At 38.0% G+C, this 26,062-nt stretch overlaps 1 protein-coding gene across 31 annotated transcripts in view, besides 1 other annotated feature; it reads left to right on the forward strand.

The window, feature by feature from the left end:
- Positions 1–24,887, forward strand: part of MATR3 (matrin 3) — a 57,577-nt gene extending 32,690 nt beyond the window's left edge. For 15 of the 31 annotated variants that reach the window (NM_001400451.1, NM_001400450.1, NM_001400455.1 and 12 more), the window contains 14 exons: positions 449–1,537; positions 7,885–7,946; positions 8,907–8,948; positions 9,286–9,398; positions 10,263–10,315; positions 10,806–10,931; positions 12,118–12,243; positions 12,544–12,711; positions 15,108–15,239; positions 15,673–15,716; positions 15,808–16,177; positions 18,650–18,872; positions 19,373–19,494; positions 22,555–24,887. In NM_001400451.1, the coding sequence (NP_001387380.1) occupies positions 626–1,537; positions 7,885–7,946; positions 8,907–8,948; positions 9,286–9,398; positions 10,263–10,315; positions 10,806–10,931; positions 12,118–12,243; positions 12,544–12,711; positions 15,108–15,239; positions 15,673–15,716; positions 15,808–16,177; positions 18,650–18,872; positions 19,373–19,494; positions 22,555–22,605 (2,544 nt within the window). In that variant the 5' untranslated portion in view covers positions 449–625 and the 3' untranslated portion in view covers positions 22,606–24,887. Of the gene's footprint in view, positions 1–448; positions 1,538–7,884; positions 7,947–8,906; positions 8,949–9,285; positions 9,399–10,262; positions 10,316–10,805; positions 10,932–12,117; positions 12,244–12,543; positions 12,712–15,107; positions 15,240–15,672; positions 15,717–15,807; positions 16,178–18,505; positions 18,873–19,372; positions 19,495–22,554 lie in introns of all 31 variants that reach the window. The other 16 variants (NM_001400459.1, NM_001400463.1, NM_001282278.2 and 13 more) reach the window with 4 other exon arrangements.
- Positions 15,288–16,487: an enhancer, noted in NCBI's record as "CDK7 strongly-dependent group 2 enhancer chr5:138657767-138658966 (GRCh37/hg19 assembly coordinates)". NCBI's record gives its function as "activates an origin of replication core promoter dependent on BRD2, BRD4, P300/CBP, MED14 and CDK7 cofactors, with strong dependence on CDK7, by STARR-seq in HCT116 cells {active_cell/tissue: HCT116}" and the evidence as "EXISTENCE:reporter gene assay evidence [ECO:0000049][PMID:35650434]".

Here is a 26,062-nt window from a genome sequence, read left to right on the forward strand (position 1 = left end):
ATAGTGATAATAGGTCTCATTTTCCAAAGCACAGTACAACTGATTCATCTTTGACTTGCTGACCTTGATTTTTTTGTTTTTAGTCTTCTGGAACTTAAGCATCATACTATAGGGTGTATTTTTATTCTTCTAAAAGAAGAAACCCATCTATATTTTTACTGAAATTTTGATGTACTCAGACATCTAACCTTTCAATTTACATGTTTTTAAACTCAGTATGAAAGTCCCTTTAATAGTTAAGCTTTAGCATGAAATACTACTTTTTAAATATCTATATGCAGGCTCTGCATACATCAGGAATCTGTTTAAGATATGTAATAAATTCCTTGTAAGTTTGAGATCTTAAATGTTTTTTTTTTAAATCAACATGATGCATAAGTTTTTTTTTCTTAAAAAAACGGCATCTGCTTAAAGGGATTTATGACTAAAATTGCTTATTTTTCTACAGAGTTGTCTGCTGGTTCTCAGCTTGAAGAAGATTCTGCAGTCCTTATTGATCCTTTTTCTTGGCGTTACCATTTTTGAAGCAAAGTTAACCTAGCTTTCTAGTTTGAGCTTTCTTTTTGGCCGTCTTTAAAAAAATTTTTTTTTTTAATCTATAAAATAGACAAGAGCTAGTTCTACAATGTCCAAGTCATTCCAGCAGTCATCTCTCAGTAGGGACTCACAGGGTCATGGGCGTGACCTGTCTGCGGCAGGAATAGGCCTTCTTGCTGCTGCTACCCAGTCTTTAAGTATGCCAGCATCTCTTGGAAGGATGAACCAGGGTACTGCACGCCTTGCTAGTTTAATGAATCTTGGAATGAGTTCTTCATTGAATCAACAAGGAGCTCATAGTGCACTGTCTTCTGCTAGTACTTCTTCCCATAATTTGCAGTCTATATTTAACATTGGAAGTAGAGGTCCACTCCCTTTATCTTCTCAACACCGTGGAGATGCAGACCAGGCCAGTAACATTTTGGCCAGCTTTGGTCTGTCTGCTAGAGACTTAGATGAACTGAGTCGTTATCCAGAGGACAAGATTACTCCTGAGAATTTGCCCCAAATCCTTCTACAGCTTAAAAGGAGGAGAACTGAAGAAGGCCCTACCTTGAGTTATGGTAGAGATGGCAGATCTGCTACACGGGAGCCACCATACAGAGTACCTAGGGATGATTGGGAAGAAAAAAGGCACTTTAGAAGAGATAGTTTTGATGATCGTGGTCCTAGTCTCAACCCAGTGCTTGATTATGACCATGGAAGTCGTTCTCAAGAATCTGGTTATTATGACAGAATGGATTATGAAGATGACAGATTAAGAGATGGAGAAAGGTGTAGGGATGATTCTTTTTTTGGTGAGACCTCGCATAACTATCATAAATTTGACAGTGAGTATGAGAGAATGGGACGTGGTCCTGGCCCCTTACAAGAGAGATCTCTCTTTGAGAAAAAGAGAGGCGCTCCTCCAAGTAGCAATATTGAAGACTTCCATGGACTCTTACCGAAGGGTTATCCCCATCTGTGCTCTATATGTGATTTGCCAGTTCATTCTAATAAGGTGAGTTAACTCAACAGATGCTTCTAATTTCTTTTACATTGTAGTGCCTATTTACCTATATCTTTGACTCTAATTCTGTAGTCTGATGACATTGAGTTGATCAAGCATTTTTAAACTTTTGAGAACACTTACTTTATTTGGAAGGTAATTGTTTTTGAGCATTTTAAACCAGGGCTTTACATTAATATATTCTGCCTAGATTACTTCTGGCCACAAAGCTATCATCCACTGAGATTATCTTGTTGGTTTTTGGCATCAATATGTTCTTCTTAATCATATATTTAAGCAGGTTTTTTTTGTCTGCTTTGTTGAATTGTTTTAAGTATTTTTTTTGCAGTCAATGTGCTCTGCCATTCAGGATGCTAGATTTCAGCTCTCCATCTGTCTTGATTGCTGATTTGTATGTAGTAAAGATGTATTCTTGAACAATTCTCTTTTTTTCCTTATCTGTGGCTACAGGGAAAGAGTTAATGTAGAGCCCTGGTGTTTGTTTCAGTATGTTTCATATTTTAGATTAGTTCATTCTTCCTTTTTTAATTTCCCTTTAACACAAACTCTCATACTATGACTGAAATTTTTCATCATTTTTTTTCTCCTTTTCCACAACTTTCTTAAACATACTTCAAAACTCACTTTTTATTATCCCATGTTACATCTGTCCCTTTAGAGACTTGGACAAATCAACTACTACAGTATCCTGCTCTGTGTTCCTCATAAACAAATTCTTTTTCTGAGTTAGGCTTAGACTTCTGAAATAGTCATTTGAAAAGAAAATCTAATTCTCCTTTGCTTTAATTATCACATCTGGCAAAATGGGAACTTTTTCAAAATGCCCTTTTAAATATGTTGTCCTTTCTCTTTCAACTTTTTCAGTGTTACTCATTCTGACTTTTTTTCCCCCAATATATGGTGCAGTTGACTTAAAGTCATTGTTATAGCACCCCACTAGCTTGATCTATAATCTGTGACCGTCCATTTTTTCCTGATGTGCTCTACTTAACTGGAACAAGTTGCTGCCATGAAATTGATTTGATGGTTACTGTTACAGGGTTTTTCTTTACAGTAACATCTGGAAGGGTCATTTTCTTTTCATAGCTAATCCTTTGATAAGCATTTTTTAGTAAATGAGTATGGATTTTTTTTTAGTAGACTAAATCATACCATTGTTTTTAATATTCTGTTAAAGAGTATTACCAGTCACTCCCTTTCCTTGTGTTTGGATCTCAGTATTTTTGTCTTTTAATCTTTAATCTGTACCAAAGTAAATTAACATAAATGCTAAATTTAGGTTTATTTAAACATTTAAGAAGATGTATTTTCATTAAGAAATACAACCCCAGACTCACAAAAGCCAGCAAATTTTAATTGGTATATGTTTTGGGTGTTACCTTTTCCTAAATTTGTTGGCTCTACTAAATATATCATGGAATTCATTTTAGTTTCTGATCAGCACTAAACTTTAAATTTTAGGTCCCGTGTGAATTCATAGAATGAAAAGGTCCATTAAACACTGGTGACTCCAATTTTTTCTGCGTTATTTCTTGCCTGTTTATAAGGAAATAATAGCAGAAATGTCAGTATGACCAATATTCTCAGAAAGGGTCTCTAAATTCTGAGGAAAATAGATAGTTACAAGTGTCTCAAATGAGAGTGATGTGAAGGGACTTAAAAAATCTTCGCTACTGGAGTCATTAAGCTGTTGGGACATCATGAACACAATGGAACCATGAGAGGACTTCGAGAAAAGTTTCTGTTTTTATGTATGATTATGCTTTTTTCCTTCAAATTTTGCTACTTTCTAGTTCCTGAAGAAGGCTAATAACTTAAATGGATCTAAATTAACAAAAGAGCAGTTTTTACATATTTTGATGAAACTATGGATTCAAGAGTAAGATACACTACCCTAGTGCAAGAGGTACTTTTAGCCTGTAAAAATGCTTAGGTCCTAGCTAGTTTTGGTATTCTGTCAAAATACTGAGTACATTTGAGAACTATTTTAGAGGCCTTTTGTTTAATTCTGTGGTTTAAATGTGTAAATTGGACCAACTTTAAGAAGTTTAAACACATGGATTATCTGAATTTCTAGTTTTCTAGTTGCTTTACTATGTTTTTTACGTATATGCATTATATTGAAAAAATCTTTACTCACTTTAGCAGTGGACCCTCTATAACCGCTATAGAAATGACCTTAGAGAAAATTTCTGTGATGGAAGTAGATAATGAAAAATTTTTAAACATTTAATCCTGCTCTCTGGTATTGCTGCATAACTTGGAAAATCTGTTCTTTTTACTTAGTGGTATTGTTAAATAGTCTACATGATCAAAAATTCTTACTGTGAAGTAAGAAACTTAAGTTGAAAATAATTTGTCATGGAGTGTCATTATTTTTAGGTGACTTAAAGTGATGGTGGTGTTTTTATTTCTTTATAGGTCATTTTAGGTCATCAAATTGCTTTTCTTTTCTTTTCTTTTTTTCTTTTTTTTTTTGAGACGGAGTTTCACTTTTGTTGCCCAGGCTGTAATGAGTGCAATGGTGCGATCTCGGCTCACCGCAACCTCCGCCTCCCAGGTTCAAGCAATTCTCCTGCTTCAGCCTTCCGAGTAGCTGGGATTACAGGCATGCGCCACCACGCCCAGCTAATTTTATATTTTTAGAGCCAGGGTTTCTCCATGTTGGTCAGGCTGGTCTTGAACTCCTGACCTCAGGTGATTCACTGCCTTGGCCTCCCAAAGTCCTGGGATTACAGGTGTGAGCCATCGCACCCAGTCATCAGATTGCTTTTCTATGCAATCTCAAGCTTTCTCAGCTTCCTTTCACTTAAAGAAAATTACCCACTACAGCACTTTGGCTGTCTTGTCACTTGAGTTTATATTAAGTTATACTTTTTTCTGCCATTCTGTAAGTGCTTCCCAAATTCTTTTTTTTCTCTCTATAAGGTATCTCAGATACATCAAGGTGAATGTAGTTTTCCTACAGAAATGTCTGAATTTAAAAAGTGCACGAATCCTTTATTAATCTGATTTTACAGGAGTTACCTCAGTGTAGAGTCCAGGGATATATATTTTTATAAAACTCTTTCACTTAGTCCCCACCGTAAACCAACCAGTAATAGATCAGTAGTACAGATTAGTCATTGGATGAGTTTGGGAGGTATGTGATTGATTTTTTGATCTTGGCCTTCCTTTTTTCACTTTGAAAGACCAGACACACTTTTCCCCTAAGTTTGAACCTTTAAACAACGTGGAGGATTGGATATAATTTCTGTTCAGCTATGTACCCTTTCTAGCTCCTATGAAATAGAAGCATGCGTAGTAGGATAACATTTATTTCTCTCCCACAACTTAAGAATATTTTAAGTAAAATCTGAATATTTTTAGTTCAGAGAATTGTAAGTCGTTAATTGGTATTTGTTTAATTAATCCTTTTTTTTTTTTTTTTTTTTTTTTTTTTTTTTTTTGAGAAGGTTTCTCGCTCTGTGTCCCAGGCTGGAGTACAGTGGCGTGATCTTGGCTCACTGCATCCTCTGCCTTTCGGGTTCAAGCAATTCTCCTGCCTCAGCATCCCAGGTAGCTGGGATTACAGGCATACATCACCATGCCCAGCTAATTTTTTTGTATTTTTAGTAGAGACGGGTTTCACCATGTTAGCCAGGCTGGTCTCTAACTCCTGGCCTCAGGTGATCCGCCTGCCCCGGCCTCCCAAAGTGCTGGGATTACAAGTATGAGCCACCACGCCCAGCCAAGGCTTCTAAATTTTGTGAACTTACCTGTGGCTCCTCTGACTTAGAGCCATTTTTATTTTATTTTATTTTGTTTTATGTTTTTGAGAAAGGGTCTTTTGCTTTGTAGCCCACGCTGAAGTGCGCTTAGGTGTTCGCAGCTCATTGCACTCTCTACCACCCAGGCTCAAGTGACGCATGTACCACCACCACATCTGGCGTTTTTTTCTTGATAGAGATCGGGTTTCACTGTGTTGCCCAGGCTGGTCTCAAACTCCTGGGCTCAAGTAATCTGCCTGCTTTGGCCTCCCAGAGTGCTGGGATCGTATGCGTGAGCCACTGCACCCGGCCCTTACAAGCCATTTTAAAACTGGTCCCCAAGAAGGCAGTGGTCCATTACTTTCCAGTTGAAACTTTAGATATCCCAAATAGCTGATGATTAGAGAGCCAGCTGGAGAGATCTTGAGTTCCTTAGCTATTAGCCATTATTTTAAAAAGATAATCTAGCTTTGAGAGACCTGGAAATAGTAGTTTATAGCTTCCAACATTTTAAGGAAGGTACCATTCTATTTGGATGAGTTCCATTTTAGTTTACAGGATTTTATTTTTATTTATTTATTTATTTTTGAGACAGTTTCACTCTTGCCCAGACTGGAGTGCAATGGTGTGATCTTGGCTCACTGCAACCTCTGCCTCCCAGGTTCAAGCTATTCTCCTGCCTTAGCCTCCCAAGTAGCTGGAATTACAGGCACCTGCCACCATGCCTGGCTAATTTTTGTATTTTTAATAAAGACAGCGTTTCACCATGTTGGCCAGGCTGGTCTTGAACTCCTGACCTCAGTTGATGCTCCCACCTTGGCCTTCCAAAGTGCTGGGACTGCAGGCCTGAGCCACCGCACCTGGCCTTTCACAGGATTTTAGATAATTTTACTAGAGCATAGGAATGTACCTAAACTGTTGTCAGGTAAATATAAACCAGTTTTTTTTTTTTTTTTTTTTAGGAGCTCATTTATAAAATACCAATCCGCAGCTTTTTGAAAGCACGTATCTTGTAATTTGGTACCTTGGTACCTTACTCTAATTTAGTTCAGCTCTCAGTGAGACATCCCCCTTTAAAAACACATCGCCTGACCATGTTTTATATTCCAAATATAATTGTATTGGGTAGTGTGGGTGTTACAGAAATTACCTCAATTTGTGGGAGTTTGTGAAACATCAATAATAGTTGTAAAGCAGGAATTGTAAAACAAGACTGCTTTATAATCAGTGTAATAATAGTTCTTTTTTTTTTTTTTTTTTTAGCACATTCCATGTGCCTGGCAAGGGTCTGATAAGCAGTTTACCTTTATTGACTCATTTGCTTTTCACAACAACCCTATGAGACTCTTGTCCCAGTGAATTTAAATAACACGGACCAAAGATTCACATCTTTGTAATTTGGGAGTGAACCTAGGCAGTCTAATAGCAGAGCCCACTTTTTGTAACTTCTCTTTCTTACATTGCCTAAAAAGTTAACTCATTTATATCTGCATTTTTTTCCTAAAGAAATTTATTTGAATAAAATAAGAGTTACTTCAATTTAAAGTAAACCATAAAAGAGTAAATAGTGAAAGAATGTCATGTTTCCCACCCTAAATTTGGAAAGAGGCACTCCTTAAATTTGCTTATTTTGGGGAAATACAAAGGGAGCATAATATTTTGATAAATGGGATTCGTTTTCTAGAAAAGCCATTCCTGTTGAATCATGTTAGCATTTTATGGTAATGCTAATCATGGTGTATTTTTCATTCACTGTGTATTTAGTAGGTAGTAAACCTGGAACATCCTCAAAAGCTGGATGTGATTAAAGTTTTAGTTTTTGTTTTTGTTTTTGTTTTGTTTTGTTTTGTTTTGAGACGGAGTCTTTGTCATCCAGGCTGGAGTGCAGTGGCGCAGTCTCAGCTCACTGGAATCTCCGCCTTTTGGGTTCAAGAGATTCTGCTGCCTCAGCCTTCCAAGTAGCTGGGACTACAGGCGTGTGCCACCACGCCCGGCTAAATTTTGTATTTTTTGTAGAGATGGGGTTTCGCCATGTTGGCTAGGCTGGTTTCAAACTCCTGGTCTCAAATGATCCATCCATCTCAGCCTCCCAAAGTGTTGGGATTATAGGCATGAGCCACCATGCTCGGCCTAAAAGATTCTATTTTAACTAATTGTTCACATTTATAGTATATAGTTTCTAGAAAAGTAGATATAAACATGGATGTTTTATTCAGAGTGCTATAAAGTAGCATACAATGAATACTTCAGTTTGGTCCACAGTAAAAATTAATAAGCCTTGCTGATCTCAAGGTTAGTTACTACTCTTGATCTTTATTAACTCTATATCTTTTCCCTGTCAAATATCTTAAGTATGTTGACAAGTTAATCCAGTTTTTCCAAGAATGTGCATAGCGTATTTGAGGGCAGGATCAAGCCTCAAGGATTCAGAGAAATGGTTTTAAATTAAATCAATGTGATTTAGTGAATGGGCAGGTGTTTGTACAGCCTATGATACTGCATAGACATTAATATCCTAGAGTTTGAATGGTTCAGATGAAAATATTTCAGCTTTATTTTTGTTAATTCTACTAATTTACTTTGCTGCAGGAGTGGAGTCAACATATCAATGGAGCAAGTCACAGTCGTCGATGCCAGCTTCTTCTTGAAATGTAGGAGTTTGAAATACCTTTAAAACATCCTTATCGTGAATCAGAATCAGCCATTATTGGTTTTTGGGAGTTCATCATTTACTTGTAATATCCACAATGTTAATATCACATAGTGGTACTGTATGGACAATACTATTTACAAGTAAAATGTTTAGATCTGGAAATTTCATATTGAATATTAGATGCAGTAATAATATTTTGTTATTTAACATTTCTAGGATACATATATATTGGTCATTATACAAATTGGTGATTTTTACTAGACATAGTGAAAGATAGTATTTGATATGTAGAGTGGATTAAACAGTAGCATTTTTAATAATACATGCTCTAAAAATGTAAAAGATACGGAAAAGAGGGTAGGTTATTAAAAGATTCTAATTCATTGTCCAGCAAAATCCTTGGTGATGAATTTTTTTTTTTTTTTTGCTTTTGAGATCTTTGGTTTTGAGTTCAGGCTGCTACCATGAAATGGAATTCCTAAAGAAACTCCCTGCTTAAGCAGCACACAGTGCCCATTGTTCACTGGAGTTGGAATTTTCACATATGCCTAACTCTGTTGGGGCTATTCTTTCTTTCTAATGTCACAACTCAACTGTGCTCTTGGTATTAATATTGGAGAAGGAAAATCTGTGCTCTGTTCTTGTTTCTATGTAACCCACATTTCTAATTCTTTGTGCGGCACTTCCTCCTTACAATTTAACAAATAGAGGAAAAACTTAATTTCAACATTATCTGCATTTGCAAGCAATACAAAACAAGTTTATTCTCGTGGATTATTTTGAAGTTCTGAAATTTTTCTTTTGAAATATCTATTGGAAATGCTTTAAAACTATGTTTCTAACACTTAGACTCTCAGATAACTTTACTAATAAATGATCTCTATTTTAGAGGCCAAACAAGGCTGTTTTGTGAAAAGGACAGTTTTATTTTAAAGTTAATTTTCTGGTCTTTTTAAAGCTACCCAGAATGGAATCCTGACAATGATACAGGACACACAATGTAAGTTAAATTTTTTAAGCTACCATTTGTAAAGGAGATCAATGTAAGGAATTCAGGTTTCACTTTCAACATTTCATAAACAAAGTATTTTCAGAATTTCTTTACTGAAAATGAGACTTTGATAAAATTCACTTTGGTTAACAATTTTTAGAATATATATTATGTAGTAATTTGTATTCTTTTATTGTTAATGTAGACTTTGACCTAGTTACTTCACAGATACTCTGAAAGATTGAAGTGGTTGTGGTCATATATTGGGGTGCTTTAACATTTAATCTTAATTCTTTCCAATGGACCTCTTTATTATGATTTATATTTTATGTCTTCACTTTACTAGGGGTGATCCATTCATGTTGCAGCAGTCTACAAATCCAGCACCAGGAATTCTGGGACCTCCACCTCCCTCATTTCATCTTGGGGGACCAGCAGTTGGACCAAGAGGAAATCTGGGTAATTATATAAAATTCATGTTACTTTTCCCTACAGAGCCGTTACTGAAAATTTTTCTTTTTATTTATTTATTTGAGATGGGGTTTTGCTCTTATCGCCCAGGCTGGAGTGCAATGGCACGATCTCGACTCACTGCAACCTCTGCCTCCTGGGTGCAAGCAGTTCTCCTGCTTCAGCCTACCGAGTAGCTGGGATTACAGGTGCCCACCACCACGCCCAGCTAATTTTCGTATTTTTAGTAGAGACGGGGTTTCACCGCGTTGGCCAGACTAGTCTCGAACTCTTGGCCTCAGGTGGACTACCCGCCTCAGCCTCCAAAGTGCTAGGATTGCAGGTGCGAGCCACTGTGCCAGGCCGCAAATTTTACTTATTTATTTTAGACAGATTCTCACTCCGTCACTCAGGCTAGAGTGTAACGGTGCAATCTCTGCTCACTGCAACCCCTGCCTCCCGGGTTAAAGCTATTCTCATGCTTCAGCCTCTCCTGAGTAACTGGGATTACAAGTATGTGCCACCACACCCAGCTAATTTTTATATTTTTGGTAGAGGCAGGGGTTTCGCGGTGTTGCCCAGGCTGGTCTCAAACACCTGGCCTCAAATGATCTGCTCAGCCTCCCAAAGTGCTGGGATTACAGGTTTGAGTCACCACACCCGGCCCCATTCTGAAAATTAAAGGCAATGATTATAGGTGAAAGAAGGCTCATTCAAATATTACACAGAAAAAACATTGCATGAAAAGTGATGGTAATCATATATTTGTAAGAGCTTTTCATTTGTGTTTGGAAGATGCACGTTTTTCAGTAAAATTGCTTCTTTAAGCAAGTATAGTGATTACAAGACTGAAAACTTTCTCTTCCCATAAAGGTGCTGGAAATGGAAACCTGCAAGGACCTAGACACATGCAGAAAGGCAGAGTGGTCAGTAATGAAGCTTTTGGTTTTACTGTATTTATGATTTTTGGGAATATGATTTGACCTAAATCCTTACTAGTTGAGTATGTATCGTGGTCCTTATGGGAACATTGCTGTAATTTGAAAACAATCACGTTTTTCTATGGCTTTGATAACAGTTAAAACTTTAAATTTTGTATGCCCATAGTCCAGTGAGGTCACCTTAATTCAGCATCTTGGAAGCTTTGCTGTCCAGTTACGCGTACAATATTTAATTTAAAAATCACTACAGAGAGTATGTTTTGACACTTTGAAGTAGTTTAACCGTTTGGTTATGGTCAGAAAGAACTTACCCAGTGACGTTTGATATGTAGCTTTAAAATTCTCTAGAATGTTATGAGTTGTTTTACTTACACTCTCCTGGTTAATTATAGATTATAAAAAGTCCTAATGCGTAATTGGTTTCATATTGCTTTAAAGAGACTTAATTGCTTGGTTTTTTTCCCCTAATGGATAGGAAACTAGCAGAGTTGTTCACATCATGGATTTTCAACGAGGGAAAAACTTGAGATACCAGCTATTACAGCTGGTAGAACCATTTGGAGTCATTTCAAATCATCTGATTCTAAATAAAATTAATGAGGTATGAATTGAAATATTGGTATTATTCATTTATTCATGCCACTAATATATGTTCTGCAAGAATTAAATGATTTTGTATTAGAAAAATAAAACTCAAGGTAATCTTAAGTTTATCAAATGCAGAATGTAGTAGAGGAAAAGGCCAGTAGTTGATGAATATAATAGGGTACTAATGGATTATTAGTAACTATAAATTATGATCCTTAGGTAGTAATTGTCATTATACTACTATAAAAGTTGTAAAAGGAAAATTCTGTGGAAAGCCATTTCAGATCTATACCAAAATGATGGTTTCAAGTCATTATTTTTAGTCCAATTGGCATAGTAAATGATAAAGTAATGCAGTAGAAAATTAATCTGAGGTGGCCTTTGTAATAAAATAGCAAATTGGCAACACTGTTTTTTGGGGTTTTTTTGTTTCTTTGTTTTGGGAGTCGGAGTCTCGCTCTGTCACCCAGGCTGGAGTGCAGTGGCGCGATCTCAGCTCACTGCAACCTTCGCCTCCTGTGTTCAAGCGATTCTCCTACCTCAGCCTCCCAAGTAGCTGGGATTACAGCCGCCCACTATCATGCTCAGCTGATTTTTGTATTTTTAGTAGAGATGGGGTTTCACCATGTTGGCCAGGCTGGTCTCGAAGTCCTGACCTCAGGTGATCCACCCGCCTTGGCCTCCCAAAGTGCTGGGATTACAGGCGTCGGCCATTACACCCGGCCAACATTTTTGTTCGTTTGTTTTTGTTTTGTTTTGTGTTTGAGTGTCACTCTGTCACCTGGGCTGGAGTGCAGTGAGGTTCACTGCAGCCTCCACCTCCCAGGTTCAAGCCATTCTCCTGCCTCAGCCTCCTCCCAAGTAGCTGGGACTACAGACGTCCACCATTACGCCCAGCTAATTTTTGTATTTTTAGTAGAGACGGGGTTTCACCATGTTGGTCGGCCAGGATGGTCTTGATCTTTCAACCTCGTGATCCGCCTGCCTCGGCCTCCCGAAGTGTTGGGATTACAGGCATGAGATACTGGGCCCAGCCTCTTTTGTTTTGTATTTTGATTCTTGAAAGTATTTTCTACTTAATGATTAAATATATCTGAAAAGATTTGGGGCATTGTTATTTTTTAGGAAAAAAAATCTTTAGTTCAATGTGAGAAAGCTGATTGGAAAAAACAGAGAAATAACTTTTTGTATAATTTCAGGCATTTATTGAAATGGCAACCACAGAGGATGCTCAGGCCGCAGTGGATTATTACACAACCACACCAGCGTTAGTATTTGGCAAGCCAGTGAGAGTTCATTTATCCCAGAAGTATAAAAGAATAAAGGTAATGTTTATTTTTTTCAAGCTGTATATCAGTTTAACAAATGATTTTAATAGTTATTAACTGTGGTTATTTCAAATTATTGCTAAGGCCAGGTGTGGTGGCTCACGCCTGTAATCCCAGCACCTTGGGAGGCCAAGGTCAGAAGGATTATGTGAGGCCCAGGAGTTCCAGGCAAGCCTGGGCAACATAGCAAGACCTCGTCTCTATAAAAATAAAACAATTGGTAAAGACTAGGATGTTTTTAACTGTTAACTAATAATTATTGCACATTTGTCCTTTTGTTGTTGTTATTTATTAAAGAAACCTGAAGGAAAGCCAGATCAGAAGTTTGATCAAAAGCAAGAGCTTGGACGTGTGATACATCTCAGCAATTTGCCGCATTCTGGCTATTCTGATAGTGCTGTTCTCAAGCTTGCTGAGCCTTATGGGAAAATAAAGAATTACATATTGATGAGGATGAAAAGTCAGGTAATATACATAAGGAAGTTTTAGAGAAGATAATTTATTAAAATCCTTAAGATTTTTCAATATGGAGCTGGGCGTCATTCCTCAACCTGTAATCCCAGCAGTTTGGGAGGCCAAGGCAGGCAAATCACCTGAGGTCAGGAGTTCGAGACCAGCCTGGCCAGCATGGTGAAATCGTATCTCTATTAAAAATACAAAAATTATCCAGGCGTGATGTGCCTGTAATCCCAGCTACTTGGGAGGCTGAGGCAGGAGAATTGCTTAACTGGCAGGGGGCGGAGGTTGCAGTGAGCTGAGATTGCACCACTGCACTCCAGCCTGGGCAGCAGAGCGAGACTCCCAACTCAAAAAAAAAAATTTGCTTTTTTTTTTTTTTTTTTTTTTTTTTTTAAAGTATATCCCTATTTTTAGTGATGAAATCTGGAGGACTAGTTGTTTGCTTTTCTTTTCTTTTTTTTTTTTTTGAGACAGGGTCTCAAAAATTAATATTTCATACTTTTTTTTCTTGTATTTAAAAAATATAGAGTTAGCCAGTCGCAGTGGCTCACGCCTGTAATCCCAGCACTTTGGGAGGCGGAGGCAGGCAGATCACGAGGTCAGGAGATTGAGATCATCCTGGCTAACACAGTGAAACCCCCTCTCTCCTAAAAATACAAAAAAATTAGCTGGGCGTGGTGGCGTGCGCCTGTTGTCCCAGCTGTTGGGGAGGCTGAGGCAGGAGAATGGCATGAACCCGGGAGGCGGAGCTTGCAATGACTCGAGATTGTGCCACTGCACCCATCCTGGGTGACAGAGCAAGACTCCATCTCAAAAAAAAAAATTTAGAGTTAGGCTGGATGCATTGGCTCATGCCTGTAAATCCCTAGACATTGGGAGGCTGAGGCCAGAGTTGCCCAGGAGTTTGAGACCGCCCTGACAACATATTGAGGCCACATCTGTACAAAAAAAAATTTTTTTTAACCAGGCAAAGTGGCATGCTCGTACAGTTTTAGCTACGGGAGTCTGAAGTCAGGTGGAACACTTAACCCAGGAGTCCAAGGTTTGTAGTGGGCTATGATTGTGCCACTGTACTTCAGCATAGGCAGTGGAGTGAGACCCTGTCTCAAAAAGGAAATAAGGATGAGGAGAACATCTTTTTTGTTTTTCTTTTTTTGTTTTAAACACTTCTGTAATTCAGCATTGCAAGTTTGTGTTCTTCCAGACTTTTATTTTTCTTACACTATTTTAATATCTTAAGCTTATTACTTTTTTTTTTTTTTTTTTTTTTGAGACAGAGTCTCGCTCTGTCACCCCGGCTGTAGTGCAGTGGTGCAATCTCAGCTTACTGCAAGTTCTGCCTCCCCGGTTCATGGCATTCTCCTGCCTCAGCTTCCCCAGTAGCTGGGACCACAGGCACCCGCCACCACGCCTGGCTAATTTTTTTTTTTTTTTTTTTGTATTTTTACTAGAGACGGGTTTCACCATCCACAGGATGGTCTCGATCCCCTGACCTTGTGATCCGCCCGTCTCGGCCTCCCAAAGTGCTGGGATTACAGGCTGAGCCACCGCGCCCAGCCAGCTTATTACTTTTTTGCAGAGTGTATATAGATGGCTTAGTATTTGGCACTAAAGTGATTCTTGGGGATTTTGTAAATCTGACAGGTTGGTTTTTTGGTTTTTGGTTTTTTCTGAGATGGAGTCTTGCTCTGTCGCCCAGTCTAGAGTGCAGTGGTGCCATCTTGGCTTGCTATAAACTCCGCCTCCTGGGTTCAAGCAGTTCTCCTATGTCAGCCTTCCAAGTAGCTGGTACTACAGTAGGCACACTCCACCAGGCCCAGCTGATTTTTGCATTTGTAGTAGAGATGGGGTTTCACCATACTGGTCAGGCTGTTCTCGGAATTCCTGACCTCAGGTGAGCCACCCGCCTTGGCCTCCCAAAGTGTTGGGATTACAGGTGTGAGCCACTGCGCCCAGCCCTGATATTCAGTGAATTTTTAACTCTGTGCTAAAGATTAAAATTTTTAGCCGGGTGTGGTTGCTGTCACCTGTAATCCCAGCACTTTGTGAGGCCAAAGCAGGAGGATTGCCTGAGTCCAGGAGCCCGAGACCAGTCTAGGCAACATGGCGAAACTGCACCTCTACAAAAAATACAAAAATTAGCCAGGCATTGGTGGTGCATGCCTGTAGACCTAGCTACTGGGGGGCTAAGGTGGGAGGATCAGTTGGGCCCAGTACATCAACGCTTCAGCAAGCCAGGATTGCGCCACTGCATTCCAGCCTGGGTGACACAGTGAGACCCTGTCTCAAAAAAGAAAAAAAGTAATGAAAATTTTCTAACCAGTAGGTAGAATACATAATAAGGTTTTATACAATTTTGTAAAATATAATGTGCTTTGTGGTTTCTTTTCTTTCTTTTTAAGGCTTTTATTGAGATGGAGACAAGAGAAGATGCAATGGCAATGGTTGACCATTGTTTGAAAAAAGCCCTTTGGTTTCAGGGGAGATGTGTGAAGGTTGACCTGTCTGAGAAATATAAAAAACTGGTTCTGAGGGTATGTAGTATTTGATTTGTCATCATTTAACAGCTTGTTTTTACATATTTAAAGCCACAACATTCTTTTAAACATTTTTGTATGCTAAAAATACAGGATTATTGAAACCTATTGAAATAAGTTATTGAAAGAGAACAACCTTTTTTTCTGGTCTTTAATGGCAGAAGTTTTTAAACGAGTCTTCCCTAAAGGACACCTTCATTGCTCTTATCTGTTTAAGTTTTTCATAGCGTTCTGCTACCAGAATGTTTTATTTTCCACTTCTCTGTTGGTATGGTCATGATGAATGTCTGTAGGCAGCTTAGGTTCTCAAATAAGGTTACGGGAATTGAATAAGCTGAGTTGATTATAGGGATTGTCTCCAATTATTAATTCACTGGATAATTGTGTATTCTGCAAATGTGTTAACTTCTGCAAAACTTTTGTCTTTTAGATTCCAAACAGAGGCATTGATTTACTGAAAAAAGATAAATCCCGGTAATTTCATTTTGTTTTTCATATGTGTGAGTATATTCAACTTTACTTTTTCAGACAACAAATTAATTGTGGTGTGTCCTTTTGATTTCAGAAAAAGATCTTACTCTCCAGATGGCAAAGAATCTCCAAGTGATAAGAAATCCAAAACTGATGGTTCCCAGAAGACTGAGAGTTCAACCGAAGGTAAAGAACAAGAAGAGAAGTCCGGTGAAGATGGTGAGAAAGACACAAAGGATGACCAGACAGAGCAGGAACCTAATATGCTTCTTGAATCTGAAGATGAGCTACTTGTAGATGAAGAAGAAGCAGCAGCACTGCTAGAAAGTGGCAGTTCAGTGGGAGACGAGACCGATCTTGCTAATTTAGGTGATGTGGCTTCTGATGGGAAAAAGGAACCATCAGATAAAGCTGTGAAAAAAGATGGAAGTGCTTCAGCAGCAGCAAAGAAAAAGCTTAAAAAGGTAAAGAAAGATACATTGATTTGTTTTAATAGAACATTAGATCAGATCAGTATTTCAAGTTATTTACCTAAGCAGGATCAGATAGAATTATATGATTTAAATCAGAAAATAAATCAGATATGAACCAGAATATAAACATTTAAATCTAAACTCTGCAATAAATAATTAAATAAGACATTTTATTATAGTTGGCAAAAAACATCAGCTCAAAGAGGAAACTTTTCAGTAAAAATGAGGGAGAAAGACTCAAAATATATGTGCTTCTGTATTGTAGTGGTGTAGTGGTAGCATATAGGTAGGCAGCCTTATAGTGTAGCTTTGAAAAAAAAAATACAGGACGTGAGTTTGCAGTAAGTTAACTGACCCAACATAGTTAAAACTTTTGCCACTCATTCAAAAATTATTGAATAATTTTTCCTATTTGAGAAATGTTGGCCTGGTCAGATACCTTAGTATCCTTTAAAACAATTTTATTTGAACAAGTAAGTCATTTAGAAGCCATGTATAAAGTGAATATAAATATAAAAATACACACATGCTATAAAGAAGAGTAAACAAAGGACCCACATTGAGCTGACTGCCTAGCTTAAGGAGTAGGGCATTAAAATGCCTTTGAGGCAAACTTTTTATGTTAAATGGCTCATAAAATGTCGGAGTCAGGCGGGCCCAGTGGCTCACGCCTGTAATCCCAGCACTTTGGGAGGCCCAGCAGATCAGTTGAGGCCAGGAGTTCAAGACCAACATGGTGAAACCCCGTCTCTACTAAAAATATGAAAATTAGCCGGGCGTGGTGGCACATACCTGTAGCAGCTACTTGGAAGGCTGAGACAGGAGAATTGCTTGAATCTGGGAGGCAGAAGTTGCAGTTAGCCAAGATCACATCACTGTACTCCAGCCTGGGTGACAAGAGCAAGACTGTCTCAAGAAAAAAAAAAAGTAGAGCGAAATGAGATTTTTGCCATCCTATTCCATATTCCATTGGTTCCTTTTATGCAACATTCAACTCAAAACCAATATTTACCTCAGTTTTTATTTGATGGCTTGGTCAAATAACTTCATTAATTTTTCTCACTAGAGCTGATCATTATGTTTACATTTGTAAATGCTAATAATTACTGATGTTTATGGCATTTAATGCCATACGTTTTTCTAAGTTTAAATTTATTAATTTAATCCTCACAGTAACCATATGCATCTCATACTGTGATCTCCAGTCCATAAATGAGGAAAATTGAAATATGGAGAAGTTAAATAATCCCATACTGCTTATAAGACACAGAGCCAAAATTTAAACTTGGGCAGTCATTCTTCAGAGCATGATTGTTTTTTTTTTTTTTTTTTTTGGAGACGGAGTCTTGCTCTGTTGCCCAGGCTGGAGTGCGGTGGTGTGATCTCAGCTAACTGCAACCTCCACCTCCCAGGTTCAAGTTCTGCTGCCTCAGCCTCCCAAGTAGCTGGGATTACAGGTGTCCACCACCACACGAGGCTAATTCTTGTATTTTTAGTAGAAACGAGGTTTCGCCATGTTGGCCTGGCTGGTATTGAACTCCTGAGATCTCAGGGTGATCCGCCCACCTCAGCCTCCCAAAGTGCTGGAATTACAGGTGTGAGCCACCATGCCTGGCCCAGAGCTTGGTTTTTTAGCCATTACACTGTTTGAGTATTTGCTCTAAAGAGTAGGTATTTGCAGTATACTGTCTTACAAAGGATATTGCTCAACTTTTACCAAATCAAGTTTTTTACACATTGCCTAGCAGCATTGTAGTCTCAGAAAAGATAAAATATGAATATTCCTATCTCATTTAACTTCTGCTCTTTGTGTGAGGCAGACCTTCCATTTTTTAGTTTTAAAATAAGCTAAATTATTTTTCAAATTATCAGTAATTTTTTGGAAGAAAGGAAGAAGTTACTATTTTGAGCCAATGAATAAAGACAAAGACGCGGCCGGGCACGGTGGCTCACGCCTGTAATCCTAGCACTTTGGGAGGCCGAGGTGGGTGGATCACGAGGTCAGGAGATCGAGACCATCCTGGCTAACACAGTGAAACCCCGTCTCTACTAAAATTACAAAAAAAATTAGCCGGGCGTGGTGGCGTGCGCCTGTAGTCCCAGCTACTCGGGAGGCTGAGGCAGGAGAATGGCGTGAACCAGGGAGGCGGAGGTTGCAGTGAGCCGAGATCGCGCCACTGCACCCCAGCCTGGTCGACAGAGCAAGACTCCGTCTCAAAAAAAAAAAGGCAAAGACGCTATCCGTTTCCCTTCAAGTAAAGCAGACAGAAGGGATGCTGCAGGATAATTGTTGCAGAGTAAATTTGTCTTTCTTAACAGCGTCGTTTTCCAGGGAGTATGGAAGGTTTTGTCACTCTAGATGAGGTTGGTGATGAGGAAGATTCGGAACTTCAGAAACTTCGTAAATCGGGCATGGCATTTAAATCTGGTGACAAAAATGATGATGGTTTGGTTGAAATTAAGGTGGACAAGATCGAGGAACTTGATCAAGAAAACGAAGCAGCGTTGGAAAATGGAATTAAAAATGAGGAAAACACAGAACCAGGTGCTGAATCTTCTGAGAACGCTGATGATCCCAACAAAGATACAAGTGAAAACGCAGATGGTCAAAGTGATGAGAACAAGGACGACTATACAATCCCAGATGAGTATAGAATTGGACCATATCAGCCCAATGTTCCTGTTGGTGAGATTTAAGTCTTTGTTCTTCACCTTCCTCACTCTCCTCAAAACAAACTCTTAGGTTTTAAAATAAGATTTTAAAGTTGGTCTTACATAAGCTGTGATAGCATTTTAAATTTGCTTTGTTTCTATGGGGAACAATTTATAAATCTTAATTGATATATTTTCCTCTCATGCATGTCTCTGATTTTGTATTATTTTCTGTTGTTATTCCACAATGTGTTCCCTTTTTTCGTAAAATTTCTTGCAAGTTACACGCTTTTGTTTTGCTTTTCTGTGTTGTTTTTCTGTATTATATTTCTTTTTTTAAGAATACAGTTAGGTGAGACCTCAAACATCAATTAGGTAAAAGCAAAATATGGTTCGGTTTTTGTTTTTTATCTTAGGCTGTATTGGACTTCTCAAAAACATGTTGTTTCATTTAAATTATGTTGACAGGTGAAATTGTGAATACTAAATAAAATCTTCAGTTTAATTTGTAAGAATGTATGTTTGTATTTCTAGGTATAGACTATGTGATACCTAAAACAGGGTTTTACTGTAAGCTGTGTTCACTCTTTTATACAAATGAAGAAGTTGCAAAGAATACTCATTGCAGCAGCCTTCCTCATTATCAGAAATTAAAGGTAAGGTTGAATGTAAAACAGTTCTTTTGTGAAAACTTAACAAGTTATGGAAATAAGTGGGGTATATAAGTAAAATGTGTATAGTGTTCTCTCTAGACTCAGTGCAGTGCTTTCTCCTGAAGATAACTTTTTATTTACTTTTTTTTTTTTTTTTAAAGACAGTTTCTCTCTTGTTGCCCAGGTTGGATTGCAATGGTGCAATCTTGGCTCACTGCAACCTCTACCTCCTGGGTTCAAGCAATTTTCCTGCCTCAGCCTCCCAAGTAGCTGAGATTACAGGCATGCACCACCACACCCAGCTAATTTTTGTATTTTTAGTAGAAATGGGGTTTCACCATGTTGGCTAGCCTGGCTGGTCTTGAACTCCTGACCTCAGGTGATCCACCCACCTCAGCCTCCCAAAGTGCTGGGATTACAGGCATGAGCCACCGCGCCTGGCCTTTTCTTTCTTTATTGATGGGTTATCAAAACATCTGTTGAACCTCTTGTCATAGTTTACCCTTGCTACATAACAATTTAGTGTTTTCTAACCATATTATAAATTCTGTGGTAGAATTAAACTTATTCAAGTATTCTCAGATTGTTGTTGGGCTGTACTTTCTCTAATTTGAAAGATGCTGGGAGTCTGAATACTAAAAGTGGCATGACCATTCATATTAAAATAATTTTTAATATTGACATTATTATTGACACTTCAGTTATTTTTATGACCAAAAGTATATAAAGATCAAAAGCATAAATACATAAACCACAACATCACTAAAGAATAATTCCTATTGAGATATATTGAAATTTGTTTTTGTAATTATCAGCTTCTTTGGACTACCTATTGAAATAGTGACTGAAACTTAAAAGTAGTTGCTAAACAAGTCAATTATAGATACCTTGGTTTTTCACACTGCTTTATAATAAGTTAACTATAGTTACTCAGTCATTAGATATGTTCTCTGTTGACTAAATGGATGAATGTAATCTTTAATTTTGGAAATAATTCAAGTTCTTGGCTGTGTGTCACTTCTGTTTTTTTTTTTTTTTTTAAATGTAACTGCTCTTTGCCACCTATATGTCTTTTACCATCCTGTATATGAAGAAAGAATTGTGGCTATTTGCAATGGTAGCAGCAATGTAGTACAAATTATTTTATTTTATTTTTTTGAGACAGTTTTGCTCTTGTTGCCCAAGGCTGAAGTGCAATGGCGCGATTTTGGCTCACCCCAACCCCCGCCTCCCAGGTTCAAGCCATTCTCTTGCCTCAGCCTCCTGAGTATCTGGGATTACAGGCATGCGCCACCATGCCCAGCTAATTTTGTATTTTTAGTGGAAATGGGGTTTCTCCATGTTGGTCAGACTGGTCTTGAACTCCCAGCTTCAGATGATCCTCCCACCTCAGCCTCCCAAAATGCTGGGATTACAGGCCTGAGCCATAGTGCCCGCCCTGGTACAAATATTTTTATCTGCTTTGATTTTAAGCTGTTTGGGGTCAAAAACTATATGTATTGTCGAGAAGAATATGGAAATAATATAAAAGATTGCTAGGTGCTTCTTGTGGCTCCTTTTATTATTTCCTTATATTTTATTTATTTTTTTTTTATTTGAGACAGAATTTTGCTCTTGTTCCCCAAGCTGGAGTGCAATGGCACAATCTCAGCTCACTGCAACCTCTGCGTCCCGGGTTCAAGCAATTCTCCTGCCTCAGGCTCCCGAGTAGCTGGTATTACAGGCGTGTGCCACTTCGCCTGGCTAATTTTTTGTATTTTTAGTAGAAACGGGGTTTCACCATGTTAGCCAGGCTGGTCTTGAACTTCTGACCTCAGGTGATCGCCTGCCTCAGCCTCCCAAAGTGCTGGGATTACAGGCGTGAGCCATCATGCCCGGCCTATTATTTCCTTTTATTAAAAAAAAAAAAAAAACTTTGTCACCTTCATCAAGAAACTGTTAAGCATTACAGTAACTTGCTAATGGTAAATTGATACTTTCCTAACTGGATGTTTGTGGGGTGATTTTTTGTTGTTGTTGTTTTTCTTTAAAAGATATAATGGCTTTTAATTCTTACTATTTTGCATTAACTATATAAAGTTGAAATTCCAATGAGATGGAAAGAAGCTTTGGACATTTTAGGTTAGATTTTTTAATATGTCTTTTGTACTTTCATTAGTGTCTTAATGGAGCTCCCGTGTCTAGAAACTCTAGCAGTCACAGGTTTAATGGCAGGGGTCAGCAAGCTACACTCGTGGCTCAGTCATCTGTTTTTGTAAGGTTTTATTAGAACCCACAGCCATAATCATTTAAGTGTCATCTATAGTTGTTTTAGTTTATAATTGAGTGCAGGATTGAGTAGTTGTAACAAAGACTGAATGGCCCAATGAGTCTAAAATATTTACTGCTGGCCTTGCAAGAAAATGTTTGTTCAGGTGATTTAATGAGTAGTGCATTGAGGCCAGATGTGATAGCTCTTGCCTGTAATCCCAGCACTTTGGGAGGCGGGGACAGGCAGATCACCTGAGATCAGGAGTTTGAGACCAGCCTGGCCAACACGGTGAAAACCCCGTCTCTACCAAAAGTACAAAAAAATTAACTGGGCTTGGTGGCGGGTGCCTGTAATCCCAGCTGCTTGGGAGGCTGAGGCAGGAGAATCACTTGAACCTGGGAGGTGGAGGTTGCAGTTAGCCGAGATCACGACACTGCACTCCAGCCTGGGCAACAGAGCAAAACTCTCCCTCAAAAAAAAAAGAATAAAAGTGCATGTCATTTAAACCCATAGTTCTTGAATAGTGTCAGTTCAGTGTGACTGTGGTCTTTGTTTTCTCATCTCTAAAAATTAGGGTTAATTATAACATTTGAAATACCCATTTTATACCTTTTACCATTTTTTCCCCGTGCCTTATTGTAATGTCCTGAAAGTTTTTGTGTGCTAATGAGGATTAACTAATTGTTGAAAATATTGACAAAATTATAGTTTAAGTCCCTAAACTTGGATATAGGATATTTGATTTTGGAATTAATCCATTTTGCTGCATTTCTCTTAGGTGACTTAATGGCTGTAATTCTCTTTCTTTATAGAAATTTCTGAATAAATTGGCAGAAGAACGCAGACAGAAGAAGGAAACTTAAGATGTGCAAGGAGATTTAATGATTTCAAAGAAAATAATGGTTCTTTGTTTTTAATGTTAACCTTTTTTAAATACAATACTGATAGTTAGAAGAAAACTATTGTACTCTTTTGTTTTAGTGGAGAAATAATAGATGTCTGTTCATGTGTTAAGTGTTATAGCAAAAAAAATACACATATGGTTAAGTTAATGAATAGTTTTTGTTTTATCAGAATGGCAACAGACAGAAGTACTTTGTAGAGATTGACTTCCTAAGCTACTTAAGACAACTTGCACCACTAAGAAAAAAATGTAGAACCATTTGGAAAAATGAAATTTAGTAGTTCCAAGTTTCAAAGAAATGTCAACATTTTATTCCATTCAATAAAGAACAAAACCAATAGTGTTTTTATTACTTTCATCTGAAACATTCCATGTTTTAATCTGAGCCTTGCAGACTTTCATTTGGAGTTTGAACCCGTTTTGGTTGCATTTCATTTTTGGAGAACTTAATTAACGTGAGATTGGCAATTGAAATGCAGGTGCAGTTTTCTGTTAATGTCATGCTGTTGTTTAGGTAATAAGAAATATTAAGTAATTGGCTTTAGATTTTGTAATTTTTTTCCCTGAGTTCCTGCTAGATTTCGTATTCTAGTAGTCAATGTATTTTCAGTGAAATGCAAAAATATTCCCGTTATCTTTGACCAGTATTAATTTTTGAGATCTTACTGCTTGTCACTTGAATCCCGTGATTGTCATACATCTCTGGTATAAGCAACATTTGATTTTTGAAGTGTGTAGACCATCTCTTCATATTTTCAAGATGTAATTTTACATTTCTGCATTTTTAAAACAGTTTGGCCATAATCCTAGATGCACGCTTCTAATTCATGTACCTGCACATGTGACCTTTGTGAACAGAAATTTGCATGTATAATTTGTGTTTACTTGTAACTTTCTGGTTATATACTGCTTATATCTGTGGATTCAAGTTACTGAAGTGAATACCAATAAAAAGAAAACCCTAGGCCATGTTAATTGGTTATACATGTTTGGAATGTTAACCAACGTATTTGTCAGTTGTGGTTTTTATTCGCTCTTAAACTTTGTGCATGCTTTAACAATTTATTACTTTTAAATCTAGAGTGAATTCTAAAGACTGCCGCTAAAGATCTGAGTTTTAAAAATGTTGTTGCTGGTGGATTTCTTGTTCCTGTTACATAACTAAAAGTGAGGCCATTTGTGGTTTTTAAAAACCTTATGAATTAAAAATGCTACAGGTGAACAAACAGAAGCTTATGTTTAGAGATATTGATGACTTAACAGTACAATTGGAAGTAATACGGATGAGCAAGAATTAGTTCTGCAGCTTTTCAAAATAATTACGTAGAGACTCTTGGTATATTGGATTATCTGTTGTAAACAATTTTTTTTTCTTCCCTGACACAGGGTCTCACTCTGTCACCCAGACTGGAGTGCAGTGGCACAGTTCTCTGCAACCTCAGCCTTTGGGCTCAAATGACCCTCCTACCTCAGTCTCCTGAGTAGCTGGGACTACAGGCTCATGCCACTATACCTGGCTAGTTTTTGGTTTTTTTGTATAGATGGGGCTTTGCCATGTTGCCCAGGTTGATCTTGAATTCCTGGGCCCAAGTGATCTGCTCGCTTCAGCCTCCCAAAGTGCTGGGACTGTAGGCATGAGCCACCATCCCTGGCCAAGAAACAAAGTTTTAATTTCAAAAAAATCTACAAAAACAGGATAGGCATTGTCTTTCAAATGTTCAGACCCCAGTTTATTAAAGGATACTTCAAATAGTTGGCTAAATTTTATGATCTCTCCCGTTGAAAAGTAGGTGATGATTTTAATGTGACATGCACAAAAAATCCTTGCCAGTTTACTTCTGCAATTTAATTTTAGCCTTTACTAATTACCCACTTCTGTTTAATTCCAATTTTTAACAGCAGGTACATAAAGCATTATGTGCACAATGGAGTTCTTCAGTGTTTCCTTTCAGTGATGGCTTTTTCATAGCTTCAACTTTGTTGGATTTAGCAAGTTGAAGGAAAGAATGCTATGTTTTTAATACCTACATTTGAGAGCATTTAGAAATCAGAAATTATAATAAGCTGTTAGTGATAAATCTGTAACAGCCCTTCGATTACGAGAAAACCTCTTTTTAGTAGGAATGTTTCCACTCATGTTTGCTGTAAAGTTTAAGAACATTTTTCCTACGGCTATGTCAGCCCTTAGTTTAATCTTACATTATCCTACAAAAGTGAATGAAACTTCTAGAAGTACCTTGAGTTTGTTTTACAGTTCTTTTTTATTGACCGATTGCTAGTAAATTTGGGATCTGAGAGTGTCCTTTATAAGACTTTAATTGGATAGCTGTAATATTGCTTTGAGTATTCCAAAAATAAGTTCATTTGAAATGTTATTCAAGAATATGAATTTCCAACCATAGTGTGTGTGCATCAGTACCTCTAGAGATTTATTTATTTATTATTATTTATTTTTTTTTTTGAGACTGTGTCGCCCAGGCTGGAGTGCAGTGGAATGATGTTGGCTGAATTCTCCTGCCTCAGCCTCCCAGGTAGCTGGGACTACAGGTGCATAACTGCCATGCCCAGCTAATTTTTCTTAGTAGAGGCGGGGTTTCACCATGTTGACCAGGCTGGGCTCAAACTCCTGACCTCAAGTAATCTACCTGGCCTCCCAAAGTTTTGGGATTACAGGCATGAGCCACCACACCCAGTCCCTCCAGTGATTTTAAGTGGTAACATCCTGAGGAGCTTTTTAGGAATAGCCATTATTTGAATTCGCTAAGGACAGGTTCCCCTGCCACCTTTTTTTAAGGTGATGGGGACTGGAAAAGGAAATAGTAAACTATTGAATGTTGTGGCATGTAGTAAGGTTATACAGGGAGAAGAGTGTACTGAAATTGTTTACTTTAGCTTTGTTCACAGTGGATTTTTTTTCAGCCTTAAGATTGTGACAAAAGCAGCTCATGGTATGTAATAGAAATCTGCTGGGACACTGCAGAGCAGCATATGGGCTGTTTAAGATAACTTGCACTAGGACAGAAGCAGCTCTGAGTATAGTCTGTTGGTTGCCTTCCATCATAAATAAAGTTTAGTGTAGCTGAAAGCCTGGGTATTCTGTGTTTAATGAGTTTGAGGTTGTTTTATACCCTGACCTCATTGTTGAGCTAGCTGGGTTTGAATTACTCTCCCACTTTGGCCATTAGATGATAAGGTCAAGATTCTAAAAATCAACAGTGGTGCACAAATAAATAGTTACAGGAATTATTTTCCTTTAAAATGAATTGTTTTCAGCCAGGCACGGTGGCTCACGCCTATAATCCCAGCACTTTGGGAGGCCGGGGCGGGCGGATCATGAGGTCAGGAGATCGAGACCATCCTGGCTAACATGGTGAAACCTCATCTCTACTAAAAATACAAAAAATTAGCCCGGCATG

The sequence above is a fragment of the Homo sapiens genome, chromosome 5, assembly GCF_000001405.40.
Source record: "Homo sapiens chromosome 5, GRCh38.p14 Primary Assembly".
In the NCBI taxonomy this organism is placed as follows: domain Eukaryota; kingdom Metazoa; phylum Chordata; class Mammalia; order Primates; family Hominidae; genus Homo; species Homo sapiens.